This window comes from Homo sapiens, chromosome 4, assembly GCF_000001405.40.
Source record: "Homo sapiens chromosome 4, GRCh38.p14 Primary Assembly".
Lineage (NCBI taxonomy): Eukaryota > Metazoa > Chordata > Mammalia > Primates > Hominidae > Homo > Homo sapiens.
Genome location: NC_000004.12, coordinates 112070763 through 112093861, shown reverse-complemented (window position 1 = coordinate 112093861; position 23099 = coordinate 112070763). Strand labels below are relative to the sequence as shown.

Sequence of the window (23099 nt, the reverse complement as noted above, 5' to 3'; positions counted from 1 at the left end):
AACAAAAATATTTGCTCAGGTGTTATGAGGATTTGATGGGACAATGTGTGCGAATAGTAGTCCCATAAAAGCTTGGCGGAAGTGGGCCATTTGACACCAATTCATATACAACTATTTGTTGAGAACAGTGCAAAGAATACATTCTCACGATGCATTCTTTGTATACAAAACCAGGAGATATCAAGCTGGGTATACTAAATGGATATTGCTTCCTAATTTCTTATACGTAAAGATGTGGATTGTTGGCTCTGCCTGTCCAGGACAAGGTTTAGCCAGGTTAGGGGACATGTCAGTGGGAGCTGGCCAGGTCTCTTGTATCCCAAACAAAATCCTCTAAAATTCCAGCATAATTGCTTTGAGTGGTTATAAATATTGCCTTTAGAAAGCTACATCACCTGAATTTGACATTGGGTATTCTCACAACATTCCTTTTAAGGCCCTAATGCTTATTCCAGACATTATAAATAATAAAAATTTATAAACACGTGCTGATATGGTTTGGATGTTTTATCCCTTCCAAATCTCGTGTTGAAATGTGACCTTCAAATGTTGACGGTGGGCCTAGTGGGAGGTGTTTGGGTTATGGGAGCAGATCCCTCATGAATGACTTGATGCTGCCCTCAAGGTAATGAGTGAGTTCTCACTCTGTTAGTTCACATGAGATCTGGTTGTTTAAAAAGTATGACACCTCCCTCCACTCTTGCTTTCTCTCTTTCTATATAATATGCTGGCTCCCCATTTGCCTTCTGCCATGACTGGAAGCTTCCTGAGGCCTCACCAAAAGCAGGTGCTGGCACCATGTTTCTTGTACAGCCTGCAGAACCCTGAGCCAAAATAAACCTTTTTTCCTTATAAATTACCCAGTCTGAGGTATTATTTTATAGCAATAGAAAATGGACTAACACACATGCCTATATGCTTTTAGAAAGCTGTGCAACCTGGAACTAGCATCAGATTTTCTGGTAAAATTTGTACTAAACTACTACTACTTAGACCACAGGTTCTAGATAGCAATGACTTGGTATCCTATATGCCCACATGCATTTATGCAAGAACATGAAGGCAGTCCAAAGATGCAGAGTATCAGGAAGAGAGCTCTGGGATCAACATTCAGGAAGGGACAAGCTATTATCTCAGCACTGCTTTCCCTGAAGGATGACCATAATGAAAGAGGAAGGTAATGCAGGAGTCTACCTCATCAGAGGTAATGTTGAATAAATGCCAATTACTACTCACAGCTCCTAAGAGGACCTAGTGTTGGCTACTATCTCATACCAGTAGAAGCATAACTTGATTTAACGATTTAAAAGGGCAATTTTATTTTATTTTATTTTTTTATTTTTTTATTTTTATTTTAATTTTTTTATTTTTTTAATATACTTTAAGTTTTAGGGTACATGTGCATATTGTGCAGGTTAGTTACATATGTATACATGTGCCATGCTGGTGTGCTGCACCCACTAACTCGTCATCTAGCATTAGGTATATCTCCTAATGCTATCCCTCCCCCCTCCCCCCACCCCACCACAGTCCCCAGAGTGTGATATTCCCCTTCCTGTGTCCATGTGATCTCATTGTTCAATTCCCACCTATGAGTGAGAATATGCTGTGTTTGGTTTTTTGTTCTTGAGATAGTTTACTGAGAATGATGATTTCCAATTTCATCCATGTCCCTACAAAGGACATGAACTCATCATTTTTTATGGCTGCATAGTATTCCATGGTGTATATGTGCCACATTTTCTTAATCCAGTCTATCATTGTTGGACATTTGGGTTGGTTCCAAGTCTTTGCTATTGTGAATAATGCCGCAATAAACATACGTGTGCATGTGTCTTTATAGCAGCATGATTTATAGTCCTTTGGGTATATACCCAGTAATGGGATGGCTGGGTCAAATGGTATTTCTAGTTCTAGATCCCTGAGGAATCGCCACACTGACTTCCACAATGGTTGAACTAGTTTACAGTCCCACCAACAGTGTAAAAGTGTTCCTATTTCTCCACATCCTCTCCAGCACCTGTTGTTTCCTGACTTTTAAATCATCGCCATTGTAACTGGTGTGAGATGGTATCTCATTGTGGTTTTGATTTGCATTTCTCTGATGGCCAGTGATGATGAGCATTTTTTCATGTGTTTTTTTGGCTGCATAAATGTCTTCTTTTGAGAAGTGTCTGCTCATGTCCTTCGCCCACTTTTTGATGGGGTTGTTTGTTTTTTTCTTGTAAATTTGTTTGTGTTCATTGTAGATTCTGGATATTAGCCCTTTGTCAGATGAGTAGGTTGCGAAAATTTTCTCCCATTTTGTAGGTTGCCTGTTCACTCTGATGGTAGTTTCTTTTGCTGTGCAGAAGCTCTTTAGTTTAATTAGATCCCATTTGTCAATTTTGGCTTTTGTTGCCATTGCTTTTGGTGTTTTGGACGTGAAGTCCTTGCCCATGCCTATGTCCTGAATGGTAATGCCTAGGTTTTCTTCTAGGGTTTTTATGGTTTTAGGTCTAACGTTTAAGTCTTTAATCCATCTTGAATTGATTTTTGTATAAGGTGTAAGGAAGGGATCCAGTTTCAGCTTTCTCCATAAGGCTAGCCAGTTTTCCCAGCACCATTTATTCAATAGGGAATCCTTTCCCCATTGCTTGTTTTTCTCAGGTTTGTCAAAGATCAGATAGTTGTAGATATGCGGCGTTATTTCTGAGGGCTCTGTTCTGTTCCATTGATCTATATCTCTGTTTTGGTACCAGTACCATGCTGTTTTGGTTACTGTAGCCTTGTAGTATAGTTTGAAGTCAGGTAGTGTGATGCCTCCAGCTTTGTTCTTTTGGCTTAGGATTGCCTTGGTGATGCGGGCTCTTTTTTGGTTCCATATGAACTTTAAAGTAGTTTTTTCCAATTCTGTGAAGAAAGTCGTTGGTAGCTTTATGGGGATGGCATTGAATCTGTAAATTACCTTGGACAGTATGGCCATTTTCACGATATTGATTCTTCCTACCCATGAGCATGGAATGTTCTTCCATTTGTTTGTATCCTCTTTTATTTCCTTGAGCAGTGGTTTGTAGTTCTCCTTGAAGAGGTCCTTCACATCCCTTGTAAGTTGGATTCCTAGGTATTTTATTCTCTTTGAAGCAATTGTGAATGGGATTTCACTCATGATTTGGCTCTCTGTTTGTCTGTTATTGGTGTATAAGAATGCTTGTGATTTTTGTGCATTGATTTTGTATCCTGAGACTTTGCTGAAGTTGCTTATCAGCTTAAGGAGATTTTGGGCTGAGACAATGGGGTTTTCTAGATATACAATCATGTCTTCTGCAAACAGGGACAATTTGACTTCCTCTTTTCCTAATTGAATACCCTTTATTTCCTTCTCCTGCCTAATTGCCCTGGCCAGAACTTCCAACACTATGTTGAATAGGAGTGGTGAGAGAGGGCATCCCTGTCTTGTGCCAGTTTTCAAAGGGAATGCTTCCAGTTTTTGCCCATTCAGTATGATATTGGCTGTGGGTTTGTCATAGATAGCTCTTATTATTTTGAGATACGTCCCATCAATACCTGATTTATTGAGAGTTTTTAGCATGAAGCGTTGTTGAATTTTGTCAAAGGCTTTTTCTGCATCTATTGAGATAATCATGTGGTTTTTGTCTTTGGTTCTGTTTATATGCTGGATTACATTTATTGATTTGCATATATTGAACCAGCCTTGCATCCCAGGGGATGAAGCCCACTTGAACGTGGTGGATAAGCTTTTTGATGTGCTGCTGGATTCGTTTTGCTAGTATTTTATTGAGGATTTTTGCATCAATGTTCATCAAGGATATTGGTCTAAAATTCTCTTTTTTGGTTGTGTCTCTGCCAGGCTTTGGTATCAGAATGATGCTGGCCTCATAAAATGAGTTAGGGAGGATTCCCTCTTTTTCTATTGATTGGAATAGTTTCAGAAGGAGTGGTACCAGTTCCTCCTTGTACCTCTGGTAGAATTCGGCTGTGAATCCATCTGGTCCTGGACTCTTTTTGGTTGGTAAACTATTGATTATTGCCACAATTTCAGATCCTGTTATTGGTCTATTCAGAGATTCAACTTCTTCCTGGTTTAGTATTGGGAGAGTGTATGTGTCGAGGAATTTATCCATTTCTTCTAGATTTTCTAGTTTATTTGCATAGAGGTGTTTGTAGTATTCTCTGATGGTAGTTTGTATTTCTGTGGGATCGGTGGTGATATCCCCTTTATCATTTTTTATTGTGTCTATTTGATTCTTCTCTTCTTTTTTTCTTTATTAGTCTTGCTAGCAGTCTATCAATTTTGTTGATCCTTTCAAAAAACCAGCTCCTGGATTCATTAATTTTTTGAAGGGTTTGTTGTGTCTCTATTTCCTTCAGTTCTGCTCTGATTTTAGTTATTTCTTGCCTTCTGCTAGCTTTTGAATGTGTTTGCTCTTGCTTTTCTAGTTCTTTTAATTGTGATGTTAGGGTGTCAATTTTGGATCTTTCCTGCTTTCTCTTGTGGGCATTTAGTGCTATAAATTTCCCTCTACACACTGCTTTGAATGTGTCCCAGAGATTCTGGTATGTTGTGTCTTTGTTCTCATTGGTTTCAAAGAACATCTTTATTTCTGCCTTCATTTCGTTAGGTATCCAGTAGTCATTCAGGAGCAGGTTGTTCAGTTTCCATGTAGTTGAGCGGTTTTGAGTGAGATTCTTAATCCTGAGTTCTAGTTTGATTGCACTGTGGTCTGAGAGATAGTTTGTTGTAATTTCTGTTCTTTTACATTTGCTGAGGAGAGCTTTACTTCCAAGTATGTGGTCAATTTTGGAATAGGTGTGGTGTGGTGCTGAAAAAAATGTATATTCTGTTGATTTGGGGTGGAGAGTTCTGTAGATGTCTATTAGGTCTGCTTGGTGCAGAGCTGAGTTCAATTCCTGGGTATCCTTGTTGACTTTCTGTCTCATTGATCTGTCTAATGTTGACAGTGGGGTGTTAAAGTCTCCCATTATTAATGTGTGGGAGTCTAAGTCTCTTTGTAGGTCACTCAGGACTTGCTTTATGAATCTGGGTGCTCCTGTATTGGGTGCATATATATTTAGGATAGTTAACTCTTCTTGTTGAATTGATCCCCTTACAATTATGTAATGGCCTTCTTTGTCTCTTTTGATCTTTGTTGGTTTAAAGTCTGTTTTATCAGAGACTAGGACTGCAACCCCTGCCTTTTTTTGTTCTCCATTTGCTTGGTAGATCTTCCTCCATCCTTTTATTTTGAGCCTATATGTGTCTCTACACGTGAGATGGGTTTCCTGAATACAGCACACTGATGGGTCTTGACTCTTTATCCAATTTGCCAGTCTGTGTCTTTTAATTGGAGCATTTAGTCCATTTACATTTAAAGTTAATATTGTTATGTGTGAATTTGATCCTGTCATGATGATGTTAGCTGGTGATTTTGCTCGTTAGTTGATGCAGTTTCTTCCTAGTCTGGATGGTCTTTACATTTTGGCATGATTTTGCAGTGGCTGGTACCGGTTGTTCCTTTCCATGTTTAGCGCTTCCTTCAGGAGCTCTTTTAGGGCAGGCCTGGTGGTGACAAAATCTCTCAGCATTTGCTTGTCTGTAAAGTATTTTATTTCTCCTTCACTTATGAATCTTAGTTTGACTGGATATGAAATTCTGGGTTGAAAATTCTTTTCTTTAAGAATGTTGAATATTGGCCCCCACTCTCTTCTGGCTTGTAGGGTTTCTGCTGAGAGATCTGCTGTTAGTCTGATGGGCTTCCCTTTGAGGGTAACTCACCTTTCTCTCTGGCCGCCCTTAACACTTTTTCCTTCATTTCAACTTTGGTGAATCTGACAATTATGTGTCTTGGAATTGCTCTTCTCAAGGAGTATCTTTGTGGCGTTCTCCATATTTCCTGAATCTGAACGTTGGCCTGCCTTGCTAGATTGGGGAAGTTCTCCTGGATAATATCCTGCAGAGTGTTTTCCAGCTTGGTTCCATTCTCCCCATCACTTTCAGGTACACCAATCAGACGTAGATTTGGTCTTTTCACATAGTCCCATATTTCTTGGAGGCTTTGCTCATTTCTTTTTATTCTTTTTTCTCTAAACTTCCCTTCTCGCTTCATTTCATTCATTTCATCTTCCATTGCTGATACCCTTTCTTCCAGTTGACCGCATCGGCTCCTGAGGCTTCTGCATTCTTCACGTAGTTCTCGAGCCTTGGTTTTCAGCTCCATCAGCTCCTTTAAGCACTTCTCTGTATTGGTTATTCTAGTTATACATTCTTCTAAATTTTTTTCAAAGTTTTCAACTTTTTTGCCTTTGGTTTGAATGTCCTCCCGTAGCTCAGAGTAATTTGATCGTCTGAAGCCTTCTTCTCTCACCTCGTCAAAGTCATTCTCCATCCAGCTTTGTTCTGTTGCTGGTGAGGAACTGCATTCCTTTGGAGGAGGAGAAGCGCTATGCGTTTTAGGGTTTCCCGTTTTTCTGTTCTGTTTTTTCCCCATCTTTGTGGTTTTATCTACTTTTGGTCTTTGATGATGGTGATGTACAGATGGGTTTTTGGTGTGGATGTCCTTTCTGTTTGTTAGTTTTCCTTCTAACAGACAGGACCCTCAGCTGCAGGTCTGTCGGAATACCCTGCCGTGTGAGGTGTCAGTGTGCCCCTGCTGAGGGGTGCCTCCCAGTTAGGCTGCTCGGGGGTCAGGGGTCAGGGACCCACTTGAGGAGGCAATCTCCCCATTCTCAGATCTCCAGCTGCATGCTGAGAGATCCACTGCTCTCTTCAAAGCTGTCAGACAGGGACATTTAAGTCTGCAGAGGTTACTGCTGTCTTTTTGTTTGTCTGTGCCCTGCCCCCAGAGGTGGAGCCTACAGAGGCAGGCAGGCCTCCTTGAGCTGTGGTGGGCTCCACCCAGTTCGAGCTTCCAGGCTGCTTTGTTTACCTAAGGAAGCCTGGGCAATGGCGGGCACCCCTCCCCCCAGCCTTGCTGCTGCCTTGCAGTTTGATCTCAGACTGCTGTGCTAGCAATCAGTGAGAGGACTCCGTGGGCGTAGGACCCTCCGAGCGAGGTGCGGGATATAATCTCGTGGTGCGCCGTTTTTTATGCCAGTCCGAAAAGCGCAATATTCGGGTGGGAGTGACCCGATTTTCCAGGTGCGTCCGTCACCCCTTTCTTTGACTCGGAAAGGGAACTCCCTGATCCATTGCACTTCCCAAGTGAGGCAATGCCTCGCCCTGCTTCGGCTCACGCACGGTGCGCACACCCACTGACCTGCGCCCACTGTCTGGCACTCCCTAGTGAGATGAACCCGGTACCTCAGATGGAAATGCAGAAATCACCCGTCTTCTGAGTCGCTCACGCTGGGAGCTGTAGACGGGAGCTGTTCCTATTCGGCCATCTTGGCTCCTCCTCCAAGAGGGCAATTTTATAATATATACCAAAAACTTTAAAATGTTCATATCCTTGAGACAGAAATTCCACCTCCAGGGATTTATCTTAAGGCTGCATAGAGACTTTTTTTGTGGTATCTACCCAGCCTATGCCTCCTTTCTTTGGACTCAAGGGAAAGACTCTCATGTCAGTGAGCTTGAGGAGGAGAGAAAGCCACTAGGTACAAGGAAGGGAAGAGTTATCAGTGGACAGCACAATGAATTCAGGCTATGACACATCCTGTCTGCTTCAAACAAACAGCAATGCTAGACAAGTTTTATAAGAAGATATGTGGAAGTACCTGGCCAACTCAAAACAAGGCAAACATTTCCATAGACCACAAATAAGACTTGAAAAATTATAGTAGGGAACAGAGATGAAATCAAGAGCCTGCCAGACTCCAGATCCCAATGTGGGCATCAAAGGCAAATAGGATTTTGGAGAAGATGCAGACCTCTGCCGCTGCCCCACCCCCGATACTGAAGAAAGCTCTTTTGTGAAATGTAAAGATCATCTCACATGGACAAAGCACTCAGGTGAGAAAGATGGGGTGGAAGAAGTGAGTATCATTTCTGGTGTTGATAAGTAGGGAATGACTGAGTGCATTTTTGAAGTGAGAAGTAGTTCCCCTCATCACAGACTAATGCCTAGAATAAGATTGTGAGTAAGAAAAGGAGGTATAAGCACAAGACACAGAACACATAAGAAAAAAAGCCTAGTTGTGTTAGTTGTGTGACATTTAGTAGTTTTGTTAGTTAGAAGGATTTGGAGATTGCTATCAGAACCTACTGTGTATCTGTTATCATTTATTTAATATAAATATGAATTATAAATTGCATCTCTCTCTCAAACACACAGATACAGGCAGAAAGTGAAAATGGGTGTCTTCTGAGGGAAGTGACAGAGATGGCAATTTCTAGTGATCTTACATCCGGGGTTTCCAGTTCCTTATGAGGCCTATTACCTAAGGTTGTGGGTTTTGTGCAATAACCCTGGATCCTTATATTAAGTTTCGCTTTTTAACTTAAGCTCTTTTCTACTTATTTGAGCGATTTTTTTGTTCTTTAAACAAAGGGAGCCTTGGCTAAGCCAAGAAATAATGGGCCTGGACCCAAATTTTACGTATGAGGATGTTTGCTGAGGAACTATGTTTAACAGTGAAAAACTGAAAGGAATGTAAATGGCATGATATAGGGAGGGTTCAGTCAGTGATGGAGTGGTCATATGCTGGAATAGCATGCAGCTGTTAAAAGTGTATTATAGCAGGACATGAAAAGTTTGGGCAAATGTACATAACGTTATTTAGGAGGGAGGGGGTCTTATGTTTTTCATTGTCATCTCTTCCTCTGATGTCTTCCTGAGATTCTAACTTCTATTATGTTCTCACTTCTTGCCTTTTCCCTCAGTTTTCTTAAAACACAACTCATATCAACATTTACATAGATGAGAATTCATTGAACATCCAGGGGTGTCACAGCAAGGGGTTTGCATTATGGGATAGCAGGACACAAGGCAAACAATGTAAGACTAGATGCTACACATTCTTGTTCTTGAATGTCTCTTGGGAATTCCCAACACTGAGAACTTCTTCCTGGCTTCTCTCTCTCACTTCTCTGTTTGGCTCTTTCATTGCCCAGAAAGTCTCAAAATCCTTTTACTTGTTAGGCAAAACAATTTAATTTTGCCATTCTTCTGCTTACTATACTATGTCCTGGGGACCATCACTTCACTTCACAATGAAATAATTTACCAAGGAACAAAAGATAGCAAGATAGTGCTCTTCTCTAAGAAAACTGCTACTTCTATCTTTTAAATAACATCTCTTTGTTCTCTCTACTATATCTAACTCCTCCCCTGCCCCTTAACACTGATAAAATGTGTAATGTATAACAAAAATATTAAACAATGTTTATCTCTGAGTAGTGAATATTATTTTTCTTTTTTATTATTTTCTATTTTTAAATTTTCTAGAGTGTACATGTAGCTTTTAAAAATCAGAAAAATGTTATAAAAATTGTAATTCTGGTAGTACATTAATCAGGGTAGGCTAACTGCTGAATAAAAGCTTCAAAATTTTTAGCAGCTTAATAACTAACATACAGTATTCTTTTTTGCTCACACAATATTTCTACTAGGATATTCCTAGCTTCCTCCACGTGGTGACTCAGGAGCCCAGACTTTTTCTATCTAATGGCTCTGCTATTTACTAGGGTCTTGGATTCCTCTATTGGGTCTTCTGAATCTAGCTAGCAAACAAAGGAAGAAATAAATGGTACAAGATTGGCAGAAGTTATTTTTAGAAGCCACGCCTTAAAGTGGCATATTTTACTTTTGTTTATTTATGACTGGAAGATGAACTCTAGTTGTGTGGTCAGGAGGAAGAAAAAAATGAGGCTTAGTGAACAGATACACAGATCATATGTTGGAGGGGAAATATCATGGGCTTTGGATACAACAGGCCTGGATTTAAATCTCAGCTCCTCTAGTAATATAATAGACAACATGTTAGAATTCAAATAATCAACATTGAACAAACACTAATTGGGAATCTATTAGTTCTTGGCATTGTCTTATGTGCAGATAATATAGAGACAAAAAAAAATTCTCTCCATGGGAGAAGAGCAACAGTCTAGTAGGGAAGTGCACAGTTCTCTCCTCTCTGAGTGGAAGGACATTGCAATGTGGTGAGGAAAGTGCAGCCATAGATGTCTGTGTCAAGATACCCTGGGAGCGCAGATATGCCTGTGATTAATCCAATGAGAGATGGAAAGAAGGACCCTGAAGAACTTCTATGAGGGGGTTTCTTATTTACTTGGACTTTAAGGACAAATAGCCACCCTTCAGGAAAGTAGTGTTTGAGGGAGGACATTTCCTTTGAAATAAAATCATGGACAAGTCCCGAGAGGTGAAAAGATCATGCTCAGGAAACTCTGAATAAAAGAGAAATCACAGGAAAAGCCATAAACATGAGTCAGCCAGGTCTCAAACAATAAATATTCCAAAACATTCACCTTTGAGCAGATGAGTCATTTTTCCTCCAGGATCATGGGGATAATATGCATTCAGGGAAGGAGGAAACACAGCCACAAATGAGGTCAAGGATGACAGAGAAGAAAACATGTGGCCTTCTTGGATAAGTTACTACAGCCTTCTCTCATAAATTAATAATGTTGGGGCCTTGCCAAGAAATGTCATCATTGGTTTTTAAGTAATAAATGACTTAGGATTTCTCTGGTATATGAAATGTAAATGGGACTATCCATACAGGCAAGAAAGAGGTTGGGGTGAATTTGCAAGGTAAGCAGTGCAGGTGGGTGTACCTAAAAGCCTCACGAACTCTTTTTCATGTGAGTAATAGAAATATCCTGTTAATAAATGCCAACTTCAAATGGTGCACATATAAAACAAGTGTGTATGCATATATAGGTATATATATTTAAAATTCAGGTCAAGTTGAATTTCCATGGACTATATTCCATATGTGGTAATTCCATACTTAACTTTTTAAGAAGCCACCATACTCGCTCGATACGTGTAATTAAGCAACATGTTAGGCTGGGCACGGTGGCTCATGCCTGTAATCCCAGCAATTTGGGAGACTGAGGCATGTGGATTGCTTGAGCCCAGGAGTTTGAGACCATCCTGGGCAACATGGTGAAACCCTGTCTCTACAAAAATTACAAAAATTAGCCGGGCATGATGGCACTTGCCTGTAGTCCCAGCTAGTTGGGAGACTGAGGTGGGGGGATCGCTTGAGCCCAGGAGGTGGAGGTTGCAGTGAGCTGAATGCTGCCTGATTTTCATCCTCAAAAGAGGACTCTTGTTTGACATAGGCTGAGTCCCAAGGCAAGTTGAAGTTAGTACCTTTGTTAGTAGGTTAGTGATATATAGCTACCACTAGAAAAGGTTTTTCTGATCTTATTTTGATGTAGGCCTTACCACAATGTGTCTTTCTAGACAAATCCATGCATACATCATAATTATAAACCACATTTTTTGGCTTATATGGTGATTATGGAAAACAATAACAGCTCCTGCTTCATTTGCTTTTTCCTTAGCTATGCATCTTGTTGTTTTATTAACCACCTACCAACTCCTTAATTCCCTAAACATTTACAACCTGAATATTTTGCTGAGGTACATCTCCTTTTTTAATAGTAAGACTTGTTGCTAAATGCCATTAGGAAACTTAGTAAATATTGGTCCTCTGAGTGTGGGAACTTATGTAATTACTTATGATGACTTAAAAAAGGACTCTCTCTTGCTTGGTGGCATTACTTTTATAAAACATCATTGCACACTTTGTTGAAAGTCCAGCTACATATGTTCAGCCAAATGTTCTCCTTCAGGTTTATATAATTATCAGTTTCGAGCATCTTTCCACATGGTGAAGTCTCTGGAAATAGGAATACCAGATGAAACCTACCTAAGGAATTTATCTTGGTAAACTCTATTAAAAATTTTTAAGCAGGTTATTTTTTTCATCCTTTACTTTAGACAAAGCCAAAGCAGAGAGTTTGATGAAAGATAAATTGTAAAAATTTATCTTTTTACAATTAGAAGGTTATTAGAAAATACACATTTTTAAACCACTGTGGAAAATGCCATAACGGCATCTTCTGGGAAAAAGACAAATGGAAAATCCATGAAAAATTGATTATTAATAGAGTGTCAAAATTCCCCATTAGAAATGGACACTCTGTCGTCATTTTTTACAATATATTCCTAATCTTTTCACCCGAGAAATAAATGGTATCCAAGTTCTAGTTTCCATGTGTAATTGGAATTGGGCTGGTTGTGCTTCCTTGTGGTAAAGGAAACCTTTTCTGTGGCATCTTAGTTATATCCAGGTATATTGGTCGCTATGCATGTATGAGCTAATGCATAGTTAGAAGCAAGTCCATAGGCCAAATTAGCATTTGTTAAGTAGGTGCTCAATAGATACAAATAATTTCAAAATATTTCTTGAGAAATAATACAGTTTTCAAAGTTTTCTTCTGAAATAGTCCATTAATTGCATTAATGGGCAATATTCTGAAAATTAGATGGTTTCAGAAAAACCTTAAAAAAATGCAGGTCTGTTTCCCACAATGTGTAAGAGGTTGAGCACGGCAGACAGACTGGGAGTTGGCTTCCCAATCCTTAAGCCAATGCCTTTTTTTTTTTCTCCTTGTACATGCTCTTTGCCTTTTAGCGTCACTAATAATGAAGAAAAAATTGGGTGTTTTATTTTCCTGAAAGACTCATATTTTTTTTTCTGAATACATCTTACTCCATGCCTGCTGCGATAACAAAATACCTTAGATAAGGTAATTTTTAAACAACAGAATTTATTGCTCACAGTTCTGGAGGCTGGGAAATCCACGAACAAGGTACTGGCAGGTTTGGTGTCTAGTGAGAGCTCATTCTCTGTTTCATTAGTGGCACTTTATTGCTGTGTCCTCTCATGGCAGAAGGGCAAGGCAGCTCCCTTCAACCTCTTTCATAAAAGCACTAATTCTATTCATGAGGGCAAAGCCCTCATGACTTAATCACCTCCTAAAGACTGTACCTCCTAATCACCTCCTACAGGCTGTATTATCACACTGGGGGTTAATTTCCAACATAGGAATTTTAAGGGACACCCACATGCATACCAGAGCAATGGGCAAACTACAATATACTTTTAGAAGAGGATTTAAGAGATACAATCAATGAACATATCCATTCATTTACAAATATTTGTCAAACACCAAATATATTCCAGGATCTGTGTAATACACTGAGGGTAAAATGCTGTTCTAAAAGAATATGATGCCTGCTCTCTGAAACCTTAAAGAGTAATGGAAAGAAAAGTTAATAAATGAATCATGTTAATGTATGTATAATTAAAATTAGAACAATTCTCTGAAGAGAGGGAATACAGTTCATTGCAAGTGTTTGACAATGGAAGTTGATCAGGCTTGGGCAGTCAGGATAATTTCCCCAAGGTTTGATACGTGTCCTAATATCCAAAAGAAGAGTTGGATTTAACTAGGTGAAGAGAGGTAGCATGAGGGCAAGGTAGGGAAAATAAGATGTGAAATGTAAGCCCTGTGTGTGTTAGAGAAACCGGTCAGGTATTGTGGGATCAGAAGGTGTCTTTTCTTGCATTGTTTTAAGTGAACCAAGTTGAGCGTGCTTATAATGTGAAAAATGGACCCAGTAAGGGGAAGAGGTTGAACACACAGGAAAGGGGAAGAGAAATAGTTGGGGAAGCTCTCGAAGGAGAGGGAAGGGAAAGTTGTGGGATGCCTGAGATGATGAGTAAAGTAGATAATTAATGGGGAAGAGACATACCTCTTACTCTGAGCATGGATGACAAAAAGATGGTTGAGACTTCACTAAGTATTCAGTGGTATCTAAGGCAAGACCATCTGCTGAGAAGGAGGAGATTAGGGTTAGATTGGGAGCTTGCAGTGAACGGTAAGTGAATACATAAGAAAGAAGGACAAAGAAATTGAGAAATTGTTTATTAGGGCCTATGAAATCAAACACATGCTCTAGAGAATTGAACTTGTTAGAGAGAAATGATATGCCAAGTAGTAAACCATAGTGTCCCGTATGGCAGGGAAGGACTTGAGGCCAGGAAGGATCAATGGATGAGTCAAGGGCTGGCAGGGTAAGAACTTGTCAGAGAGTAGTATTTTGGGGTTAATGTTAGAGTTGACAAGGTTCAAAGTAGGGTGATGGGAGGGATTTACTAAAGTGTATTGAATCCACTGGAATTGAGGAGGTTAGACAGTTACTGAAGCATACTGAAGCCCCTGGAATTGAGGACTCCAGAGCTCTTTGAAGGTAGAACCTTTATAAAAGACTTTTTTTTTCACAAAAAGGTAAAAAAAGTAACATAAAGGCTGAGAATCACACAGTTGTACAATAATTAGATGATGCATTAATAATAGTTCTTCAAAGTAGCAGATGGCAAAAACTTCCCTTTCATTTTTATTTAATTTGTTTCCTTATTATTGAAATAGCCAGATGAAATCATTTGTGTGTTGTATGTTGCATTCCAGTATTAAAATTTAAACTATTAACATCATGGGAGGGAATGATGGAATAATAAACAGACTATAAAATAAAATTGAATGTTTGCACAGTGATTTATGCCACATAAAACTAATATACTTTGTAATTTTTCTAGAATCCTTATTGGTATAATCTGAGCCAGTGACCAAAACACACTATAACATGAAACATGCTTAATGAAAACTATGATAATCTCAATGTTGACATCAACAAAACATTAAATTCAAATAATATAATTATGAATCAGGAACATAGTGAAATATGCTGGATATCAAATGTGCTAACATCATGCTGTCGAAAGAAGAAAGAGAAGGTAAAGTCCAGGGTGATATAATCTAAAAGAATATTCAGTGTAATGTGCTTAGATGAAAAGAGGAGGGAAACAATGGAAGAAAATAGTTATCTCTTCTCCTTATCAGTCTGTGTTCTACTGGGAAAGAAAAGCTGAGGCTCCTCATTAAGTTGTAACCCGACTGGTTTACTATTCTGTTACTTGGTGATCTTCAGAAGATTTTGGCCAATATAAGTTGATAACTTCCCATAATAAAATATGCTATATTTCCTTTTTTTCTTCATTGGACACTTAAAAAAACATGTATTTTTATTAGTTTTCTTTTCTACCAAATCCAGTTAAAAGCAAAGAGCAGTAATCATATCTGAATGAGCACAAATGTACTTGCCAGTTGCTTTCCTCTGTGGCAACACTGTTGCTTGGGAAGGTGTCAGTGCTTTTATTATTGTTGCTGTTATTTTATCTTACTAATGATTTAATCACCCTCTTCAAAAAGTGTGAATTTCTTAGAGGATTTTCTTTGCCTAACTACTGTGCTTGGTGATGCAAAACGTGTATAACTTAGATAACTTTTTCTTTTTTACTATGAAAATGTTTTAATACAGGTGAGCACACAAGAAGTGCACACACAGAGAGACATAGCTTTCATAGAACACACTGGGAGTGAATAAAGAATTCGTATCACTTCTATCTAACAGAAGGCTCTACTAGGCCACCTCCTCCTGGGCCCACTCCTCAAACTCTCCCTCCTCCTGGTACTGTTGGTACTCAAACATCAGGTTGTTCCTGTTGCTCTCGGCCTCAGTGAATTCCATCTCATCCATGTCCTCACCCATACACCAGGGCAAGAAGGCCTTGTGCCTGAACACGGCAGTGAACTGCTTTGAAATGTGCCTGAACAGCTCCTGGATGGCCATGTTGTTGCCAGTGAAGGCAGCAGACATTTTTAGCCCTGGAGGTGGGATGTCACAGAAAGCTGTTTTCACATTGTGGGGGATCCAGTCAGCAAAGTAGCTGCTGTTCTAGTTTTCGCTGTTAAGCATTTGCTCGTCCACCTCCCTCCGGGACATGTGGCCCCTGAAAATGGCAGCTGCCATTAGGTAGCAGCCTTGCAGGGGTCGCACCGGCAGTCATCATAGTCTTGGCATCAAACGTCTGCTGGGTGAGCTCAGCCACCATCAAGGCCCGGTACTGCTGGCTGCCCCGGCTGGTCAGCAGGATAAAGCCAGGCATGAAGAAGTGCAGGTGGGGGAATGGGACCATGTTTATGGCCAGTTTCCCAAGGTCAGCATTCAGCTGGCCTGGGAAGTGCAGGCAGGTGGTGACCCCACTCATGGTGGCAGATACCAGGTGGTTCAGGTCACCATAGTTGGGTGTGGGCAACTTTAGGGTTCTGAAGCAGATGTCATAGAGAGCTTCATTATCAATGCAAAAGGTCTCACCTGCATTTTCTATGAGCTGGTAGACTGAGAAAGTGGTGTTGTAGGGCTCCACCACTGTGTCGGACACCATGTACATGAAGAAACTGCCAGCCACCTTTACACTAGGTGCACAGAATAAATCAAACCAACTTTTCTTCTTCAGAGAAGAGTCACTTGAGTGCCCCACTAAGTTCTGAAACATATGGTAATTAGGCCCCCATGGCCCTGGAGGAAGTGTGTAACAAAAACTTTTTGTGGCTTCAAAGTTTCTTCTCTTCAGATCCCACTGTCTGCTGACAGGGCCAGCCTTAGGGTGTGAGAACAGTGCAGTCACACAGGATCCCCAGCTCAGAAGGGCCCCATAACTGGGCTTAATGCTCAGCAGTTGCTGTCATGACATTCCTTGTAGTTTTATTTTAGAATTTGTATTTTCATAAGTGAAGTCCGATGGAAAAATGGAGCATGTGCCAGGGACATGGAGCCTCAGCTCCCTCTCGGTCCCCCTCCTCCCACTTCCCCAGGATGGGTTCATGGCTACCTGCTTCCTATGCCCTCACACCCTGGCCTCACCCTGCCTCTTCCTCTCTGCTTGTACCCCATTAACTGATGTGCCTTCTGCTTGAGGTGGTCACCTCAAGGGTGTTGGGGTTGAGATGGGCAGCATTCTGCCATTGCCTTTTTCCCCTAGTGGGGGCTTGAACACCGATATGGGAGGTTCAGGGTCGATGTGTGCCCCACAGCATCTCAGGGCAGGGCGAGGTGGTGGCTGTCCCTGCCCCAGGCTGGTAACTCCACGGTACATTTGGTGAGTGAGTTGGCAGGAAAGTCTTTGGCCCACCATATCCAGACACTGAATGCATGGCATGGAGGTTCCCATTCCGTGGTGGTTGCCCATCCACTCTGGGTTGGGACAGTGGGACCATGGAACTGTGGGAAGAGGCGAATGACCTTTCCGCCCCTGAGTAGGGCACAGCCTGTCAGTTTGGTGGATGCAGAGAGGTCGTGGGCTACATGCATAGGGTCACAGGCAGGGCTCCTGGGCACCTGTGAAGATCTGTACTTGCCCTGCAAGTATTCCCATGCCTGAGGGAGCATAACTTTAAATAGCAAATAAAAATCACCATGACAGGAGAAGAGAGAGAGACTGTGGAAGAAAGGAAAACATTTAATATAGTAGTACTTTTACTGGCACTCTTTTCCTGACTTTTGAACAAAAGGTCCTGAATTTCCATTTGCATTGGGCTTTGCAAATTATGTGGCTGGTCTTGTCTGCAGAGCTTGTTACTGGGTGGTTGGGGGTCAGTGAGCCTTTTGGGAGGAAAGGTCCTGGAGACTTCTCTGATGGACAAAAGTGTCCTTGACTCACATCTAGTGGCAGGTAAGGGCCACAGATCTACATAGGAAAACCTGTGAGAAAAGGTGGACCCTGGATTTTTGCTCTTGCACAGCCATCAGGGCCTAGAACAGGCACCATACATTCAATTGGCTGTGGCAAGTAACAACCAGCATCAGGGAATGTGGAGTGGAGGGCACTGCAGCGAAGTGCTTGCCTTGAGCAATCTGATATGGAGGAGGTGAGAGATGCTATTGCGATTCAGCCCCAGATGGTGTTGCTGTGCCGGATAGGAGCTCAGTACTGCAGTATTATCCAAGAGAAACTGGAGATACAGCTTGTTTGGGTGAAAAATTTTTATAAATTAAAAAAAAATTTTTTTAATGAGACAGTCTGGCTCTGTCACCTAGGCTGGGGTACAGTGGTGTGATCTTGGCTCACTGCCACCTCTGCCTCCTGGGTTCAAGTGATTCTCCTGCCTCAGCCTCTTGAGTAGCTGGGATTACAGGCACACGCCACCATGCCCAACTAAATTTTTGTATTTTTATTAGAGAGGAGGTTTCACCATGTTGGCCAGGCTGGTCTCAAACTCCTGACCACAAGTGATCTGCCCACCATGGCTTCCCAAAATACTGGGATTACAGGCGTGAGCCACTGTGCCCGACCTGTGTGAAAATTTTTATATGAAATTTCAAACACAGTATGGATAAACAAAATATTTCAAGGAGACATATTTGAACTGGGGCCCCTTTGTTTGCAGGTCATGGGGTAAGTTGGTTCTGACATAATATGTTACCAGGGCTGTAAACCCCTCTAGACTCAGCCACCCTAGCCTGATTTTCATGCTTTGAGAAGAAAACTGGACATCTGAGTAGGAGATTGAAGAGCCCTGATTTACACTCAAGTGTGCAGTTATACAGGGTCTGGGTCTGTAAAGGATTTTGCTGAGGATAGACATGCCACCGCCATCAGATTGTGAATGTATATTAGGTTTCAACAACGACATCTAGTGGCAATGAAAGAAACAACAGCCTTGCTGAGCCCAGGAAGTTTTCTCCATCAGCCAGGAGTTTAGAGTGAGTAAGCCACTGGACTCAAGAGTGGGAAAGGGTAGGTCTCAAGAGAGAGATAATGGATTTTCTATTAATACAGACAAGTGGGGGAGAGGGTGATTCCATGGAAATATACAAGATATGACCAAACATGCATTCCAAGCCAGTTATATGGGCCATTCTAGTTACATTACTACTGAATTGTTTTGATTAAATGCCACAGAAGTTAAAATAGCAAACTTTCATTTAAGTTTTCCTCTTATTTATGGAAATTCAATAGGACTATTTCAGGAAGGCTTAATATTAGTATCAATTTTTAGTAAATGTTTTATGACTTTATAGTCAGATATTGACCAGTAATAATATCATTTAATATATCTTACACATGATCTTAGTCAAAAGGCAAAGAAGTGATATATGTGTTCAATATATAATAAGCAATAAATAATTACTGAGTCTGGCACAGTTCTAGGCTAAGTATATGTATTAGGTGTCTTATTTGACATTTAAATTCATCATAATATTTCTTGTGTTTTAACTTGAGGGAATGCAAAGAAATAAAAATATGAGATTCTCCCTTAGGTATTCATGTGCTGTATAAATATTTATTGAGTATGCACCACGTACCAGATTAGATGCCGGGATACAATAGCAAGTAAGATGTTTATACTTGCTATTTTCATGGAGCTTACAATCTAGTATGGTAAGTGGTATTAGGCAAACCCTTAGCACAAATAATTAACATCAATTGTGTTAAGTGCTATGAAGGAGAAGCATACAGGGAACTGGAAGCAGGTTTGGGGGTCAAGGCTCAGCAATCGAAGTAGACAGTAATTAGCAATGAGGCTGAAAAGGAAGTTGAGACTAAATCATGTAAGGCCTTGAAGGTTGTATCCAGGATTTAGCTTCTTATTCCAAAAACAATGTACGGACATTGAAGGATTTTAAGCAGTTAAGTGCCATAATCAGATATTAAAAAAAAAAAAAACCCACTCTGGCTTCAGTGAGTAAAACAGATCATACCTACATGAGAAAATCAACACGAGAAGCATTGCTTGAACATATAGGACTTTTGGAATTAACTATAGAACTAGGCACATCAGGAAGCAATGTTCAAGTAAAATTACTGCTTTGTGTGTATTATGGGATAAAATAAGAGGTCTATGTTGGGTGTTTCATTTTATCAGATAAAATTTTAATTTTTTTTTATCATGAAGGAGTCAAAGGAGTAATTTCCTGTCCTTCTTTTTGCAGTGTTATTAATGTCAGAAGCTGACAGATTAAAAAATGATGTTCTACATGGACAAAGCCTGGCATATTTGTAACTTTCAATATGTAGCTATGATAAACTGCATTAATAGCTAAGGAAATGAGTTTGGATTTAAAGGATACTTTTTTCTTGGATTGGATTTTGGTTGGAAAAAAGGATCTTAGGTAAGAAGGATTTTTTTTTCCCATTTACTGGGGGAACCAGCCCCAGTATTTCAACATAGGTTCTTTTCTATTTTCCCTAAGTGTTGGCTGGTCTGAGAAATAAAGAGAAAGAGTACAAAGAGAGGAATTTTACAGCTGGGCCTCTGGGGATGACATCACATATTGGTAGGACCGTGATGATGACCCCGAGCCACAAAACCAGCAAGTTTTTATTAGGGATTTTAAAAGGGGAGGGGGTGTATGAACAGGGAGTAGGTCACAAGGATCACATACTTCAAAGGGCAATAAAGATCACAAGGCAAAGGCAAAATTAGAAATACTGATGAGGGTCTATGTCCTGCCATGCACGTATTGTCTTGATAAACATCTTAACAGGAAACAGAGTTTGAGAGCAGATAACTGGTCTGACTAGAATTTACCAGGCTGGAATTTCCCAATCCTAGTAAGCCTGAGGGCACTGCAGGAGACCAGAGCGTATTTCAGTCATTATTTCAACTGCATAAGACAGACACTCCCAGAGCGGCTGTTCATAGACCTCCCCCAAGGAATGCATTCCTTCCCCAGGGTTATTACTTGCTGGGAAAAGAATTCAGTGATATTTCTCTTATTCGCACGTCCGTTTATAGGCTCCCTGCAAGAAGAAAAATAGGGCTGTATTCTGCCCAACCCTGCAGGCAGTCAGACCTTATGGTTGTCTTCCCTTGTTCCCTGAAAATCACTGTTATTCTGTTTTTTTTTTAAGGTGCACTGATTTCATATTGTTCAAACACACATATTTTACAATCAATTTGTACAATAGTGATCCTCAGGTGACGTACATTCTCAGCTTACAAAGATAATGGGATTAAGAGATTAAAGACAGGCATAAGAAATTACAAGAGTATTAATTTTGGGAAGTGATAAATGTTCATGAAATCTTCACAATTTATGTTCTTCTGCCTCAGCTCCAGCTGGTCCCTCTGTTCAGGGTCCCTGACTTCCCACAACACCCTTCATAGTGATATGATTTGGCTCTGTGTCCCCACCCAATCTCATCTCGAATTGTAATCCCCATGTGTTGAGGGAGGGACCTGTAATCCCCACGTGTGGAGGGAGGGAGGTGATTGGATCATGGGGGTGGTTTCCCCCATGCTGTTCTCATGATAGTGAGTGAGTGCTCACGAGATCTGATGGTTTTATAAGTGTTTGGAAGTTCCTCCTTCATTCTTCTTTCTCCTGCTGCCTTGTAAAGAAGTTGCTTGCTTCCCCTTCAGCTTCTGCCATGATTGTAAGTTTCCGGAGACCTCTGCAGCCATGTGGAACTGTGAGTCAATTAAACCTCTTTCCTTTATAAATTACCCAGTCTTGGATATTTCTTTATAGCAGTGTGAAAATAGACTAATACACATAGATATGGTAGGCTTTTTAGAGAAAGATTCATAGTATATGAAGTAATAGATATTATTACCACTAGTTCTACTAGTACTGATTATGTGCTGAAATTTTATTGTAAACTCTCTCTGCACACCCAACCACACACAAACACGTATTTATTTCATTTATTCCTCACAAAAACCCAATGCTGTATGTACTATTATTATGTTCTTTTTAAAGATAAGGAGACTGAAGCACAAATAAGTTAATTACTTTATCAAAAATCACATAGCTTATTGATAATGTGGCCAGAATATAAAACAATATTTGATTCTAGAATGACTGTTCATAACTATTACTTTATATTGCCTTCCAAGATTGAAACTAAAATTTTCAATTATGGAAAAAATAATACATCTATCCAGTAAACATATCACCAAAGTTATCCTTCTTTAGGAAAATTAAATAAATATAGAGTAATAATCCCAATTGTACAAATTTCAGAAATGTTTATTTGAACTGTAATAGAATGCTTCAATTTTAAGAAGAATGCCCTATTATTAGGTATACATTTTGCAATTACTTTTCCAGAATATTTAAAGTAATTTGATTTACAAGAAACTTTTATGAGTGTACCCATTACTTAATGTCAAGAAATGGTAAAATTAAGTGAAAGTTTTCCTCTTGACATTCCTTATTTTTGCTTTCTTTATTCTACTTTATTCTATTTTCCTTTTTGGCACCCTTTGAGTATTAAATAATAAAAGAAGAAAGAAGAGGAGGAGGAGGAGAAAGAGAAGGGAAAGGAAAGAGGAAAGTGGGTGGGCGGGCAAAGAATACAAGTTGGATATATTGCAGATAATTTTTAAGTGTATATTTTTGAAATAAAACTATCTAGTTCTCTGATTTTTTTTCTCATGGTCCACAAAACTGTTCATTTAGTTACAAATTAATTTGTCATTGTTTTTACTTTTTAGGGAAGTATACAATTACCTTTTTATTGTTCGTAAATTTTTGAGGTTAGTGTTATTTGTTTCCAATCCTTGTTTCTCTGATTTTATTTCAATTTTAAACAATCCTTTCATCAACAATACACATCTTTTAAGATACCTATTTGAAATATAAGAATATGTTTATGATACCAATACATGTATGTAGTATACATAAAAATCATTACCTTAAATATACATTAATTTATCTCATTTCCAAAGAAATGAAATTTCATGTTAATTTCACTACTTTAATTTCTTTTTGGAAACAATATATAGATGCCAGTTTACTATCTCCACCTTTTTCTCTCTTAAAAATTATTATAAAATATAAGACACATTCAGAATTGCACTTAAAGCGTAAATACACAGCTTAATAAACTATTTTAAAACAAATAACCACAATCCACATTTTAAAAAATGCTGCTCCAGCTTCCCCAAAGCCCATCTGGGGCTCGCTGAAAGCTCTTTCTTAATTACCAACCTCACTAAAGGTACTCACTGGCTTGACTTTTTCAAGAGTATTTTTAAAAATTGACATATACCTTGCACAATATAAAATTCACCAGTTTAAAGTGTACACTTTATGGTTTTTAGTGGATTCACCAAGTTGTGCAACTATCACCATTAGTTAATTCTAGAACTTTTCAATTCCCTCCTTCCCCCAGATCCTGTATTTATTAGCAGTTTGTCCCAAATTCTCTCTTTCCATAATTTCCTTTCTGTGTCAGGATTTGCCCATTCTGGACATTTCCTATAAGTG

At 39.7% G+C, this 23099-nt stretch overlaps 1 long non-coding RNA gene and 1 pseudogene across 4 annotated transcripts in view, besides 4 other annotated features; one reads left to right on the top strand and one right to left on the bottom strand.

Moving 5' to 3' along the window:
* LINC02945 (long intergenic non-protein coding RNA 2945) overlaps window positions 1-23099 on the top strand; it is a 308805-nt gene that overhangs the window by 18409 nt on the left and 267297 nt on the right. The window contains exon 1 of one of the 4 annotated variants that reach the window (NR_186683.1): window positions 21200-21261. The exons of 2 other annotated variants lie outside the window; for them this stretch is intronic. This is a non-coding gene — a long non-coding RNA (long intergenic non-protein coding RNA 2945). Of the gene's footprint in view, window positions 1-21199; window positions 21298-23099 lie in introns of those variants that run through there. One more of the 4 variants, NR_186680.1, reaches the window with a different exon arrangement.
* Window positions 6527-7095: an enhancer, noted in NCBI's record as "NANOG-H3K27ac-H3K4me1 hESC enhancer chr4:113007923-113008491 (GRCh37/hg19 assembly coordinates)". NCBI's record gives its function as "activates a minimal SCP1, AML or CMV promoter by ChIP-STARR-seq in naive H9 embryonic stem cells {active_cell/tissue: H9 hESC(naive)}" and the evidence as "EXISTENCE:reporter gene assay evidence [ECO:0000049][PMID:30033119]".
* Window positions 9989-11188: an enhancer, noted in NCBI's record as "P300/CBP strongly-dependent group 1 enhancer chr4:113003830-113005029 (GRCh37/hg19 assembly coordinates)". NCBI's record gives its function as "activates an origin of replication core promoter dependent on BRD2, BRD4, P300/CBP, MED14 and CDK7 cofactors, with strong dependence on P300/CBP, by STARR-seq in HCT116 cells {active_cell/tissue: HCT116}" and the evidence as "EXISTENCE:reporter gene assay evidence [ECO:0000049][PMID:35650434]".
* Window positions 10295-10589: an enhancer, noted in NCBI's record as "tiled region #2998; HepG2 Activating DNase matched - State 8:EnhW". NCBI's record gives its function as "activates a minimal TATA promoter and a strong SV40 promoter by Sharpr-MPRA in HepG2 cells {active_cell/tissue: HepG2}" and the evidence as "EXISTENCE:reporter gene assay evidence [ECO:0000049][PMID:27701403]".
* TUBB8P3 (tubulin beta 8 class VIII pseudogene 3) lies at window positions 15336-16267 on the bottom strand (annotated as a pseudogene).
* Window positions 16521-16570: an enhancer, noted in NCBI's record as "active region_21819". NCBI's record gives its function as "activates an Ori minimal core promoter by ATAC-STARR-seq in GM12878 lymphoblastoid cells {active_cell/tissue: GM12878}" and the evidence as "EXISTENCE:reporter gene assay evidence [ECO:0000049][PMID:35858748]".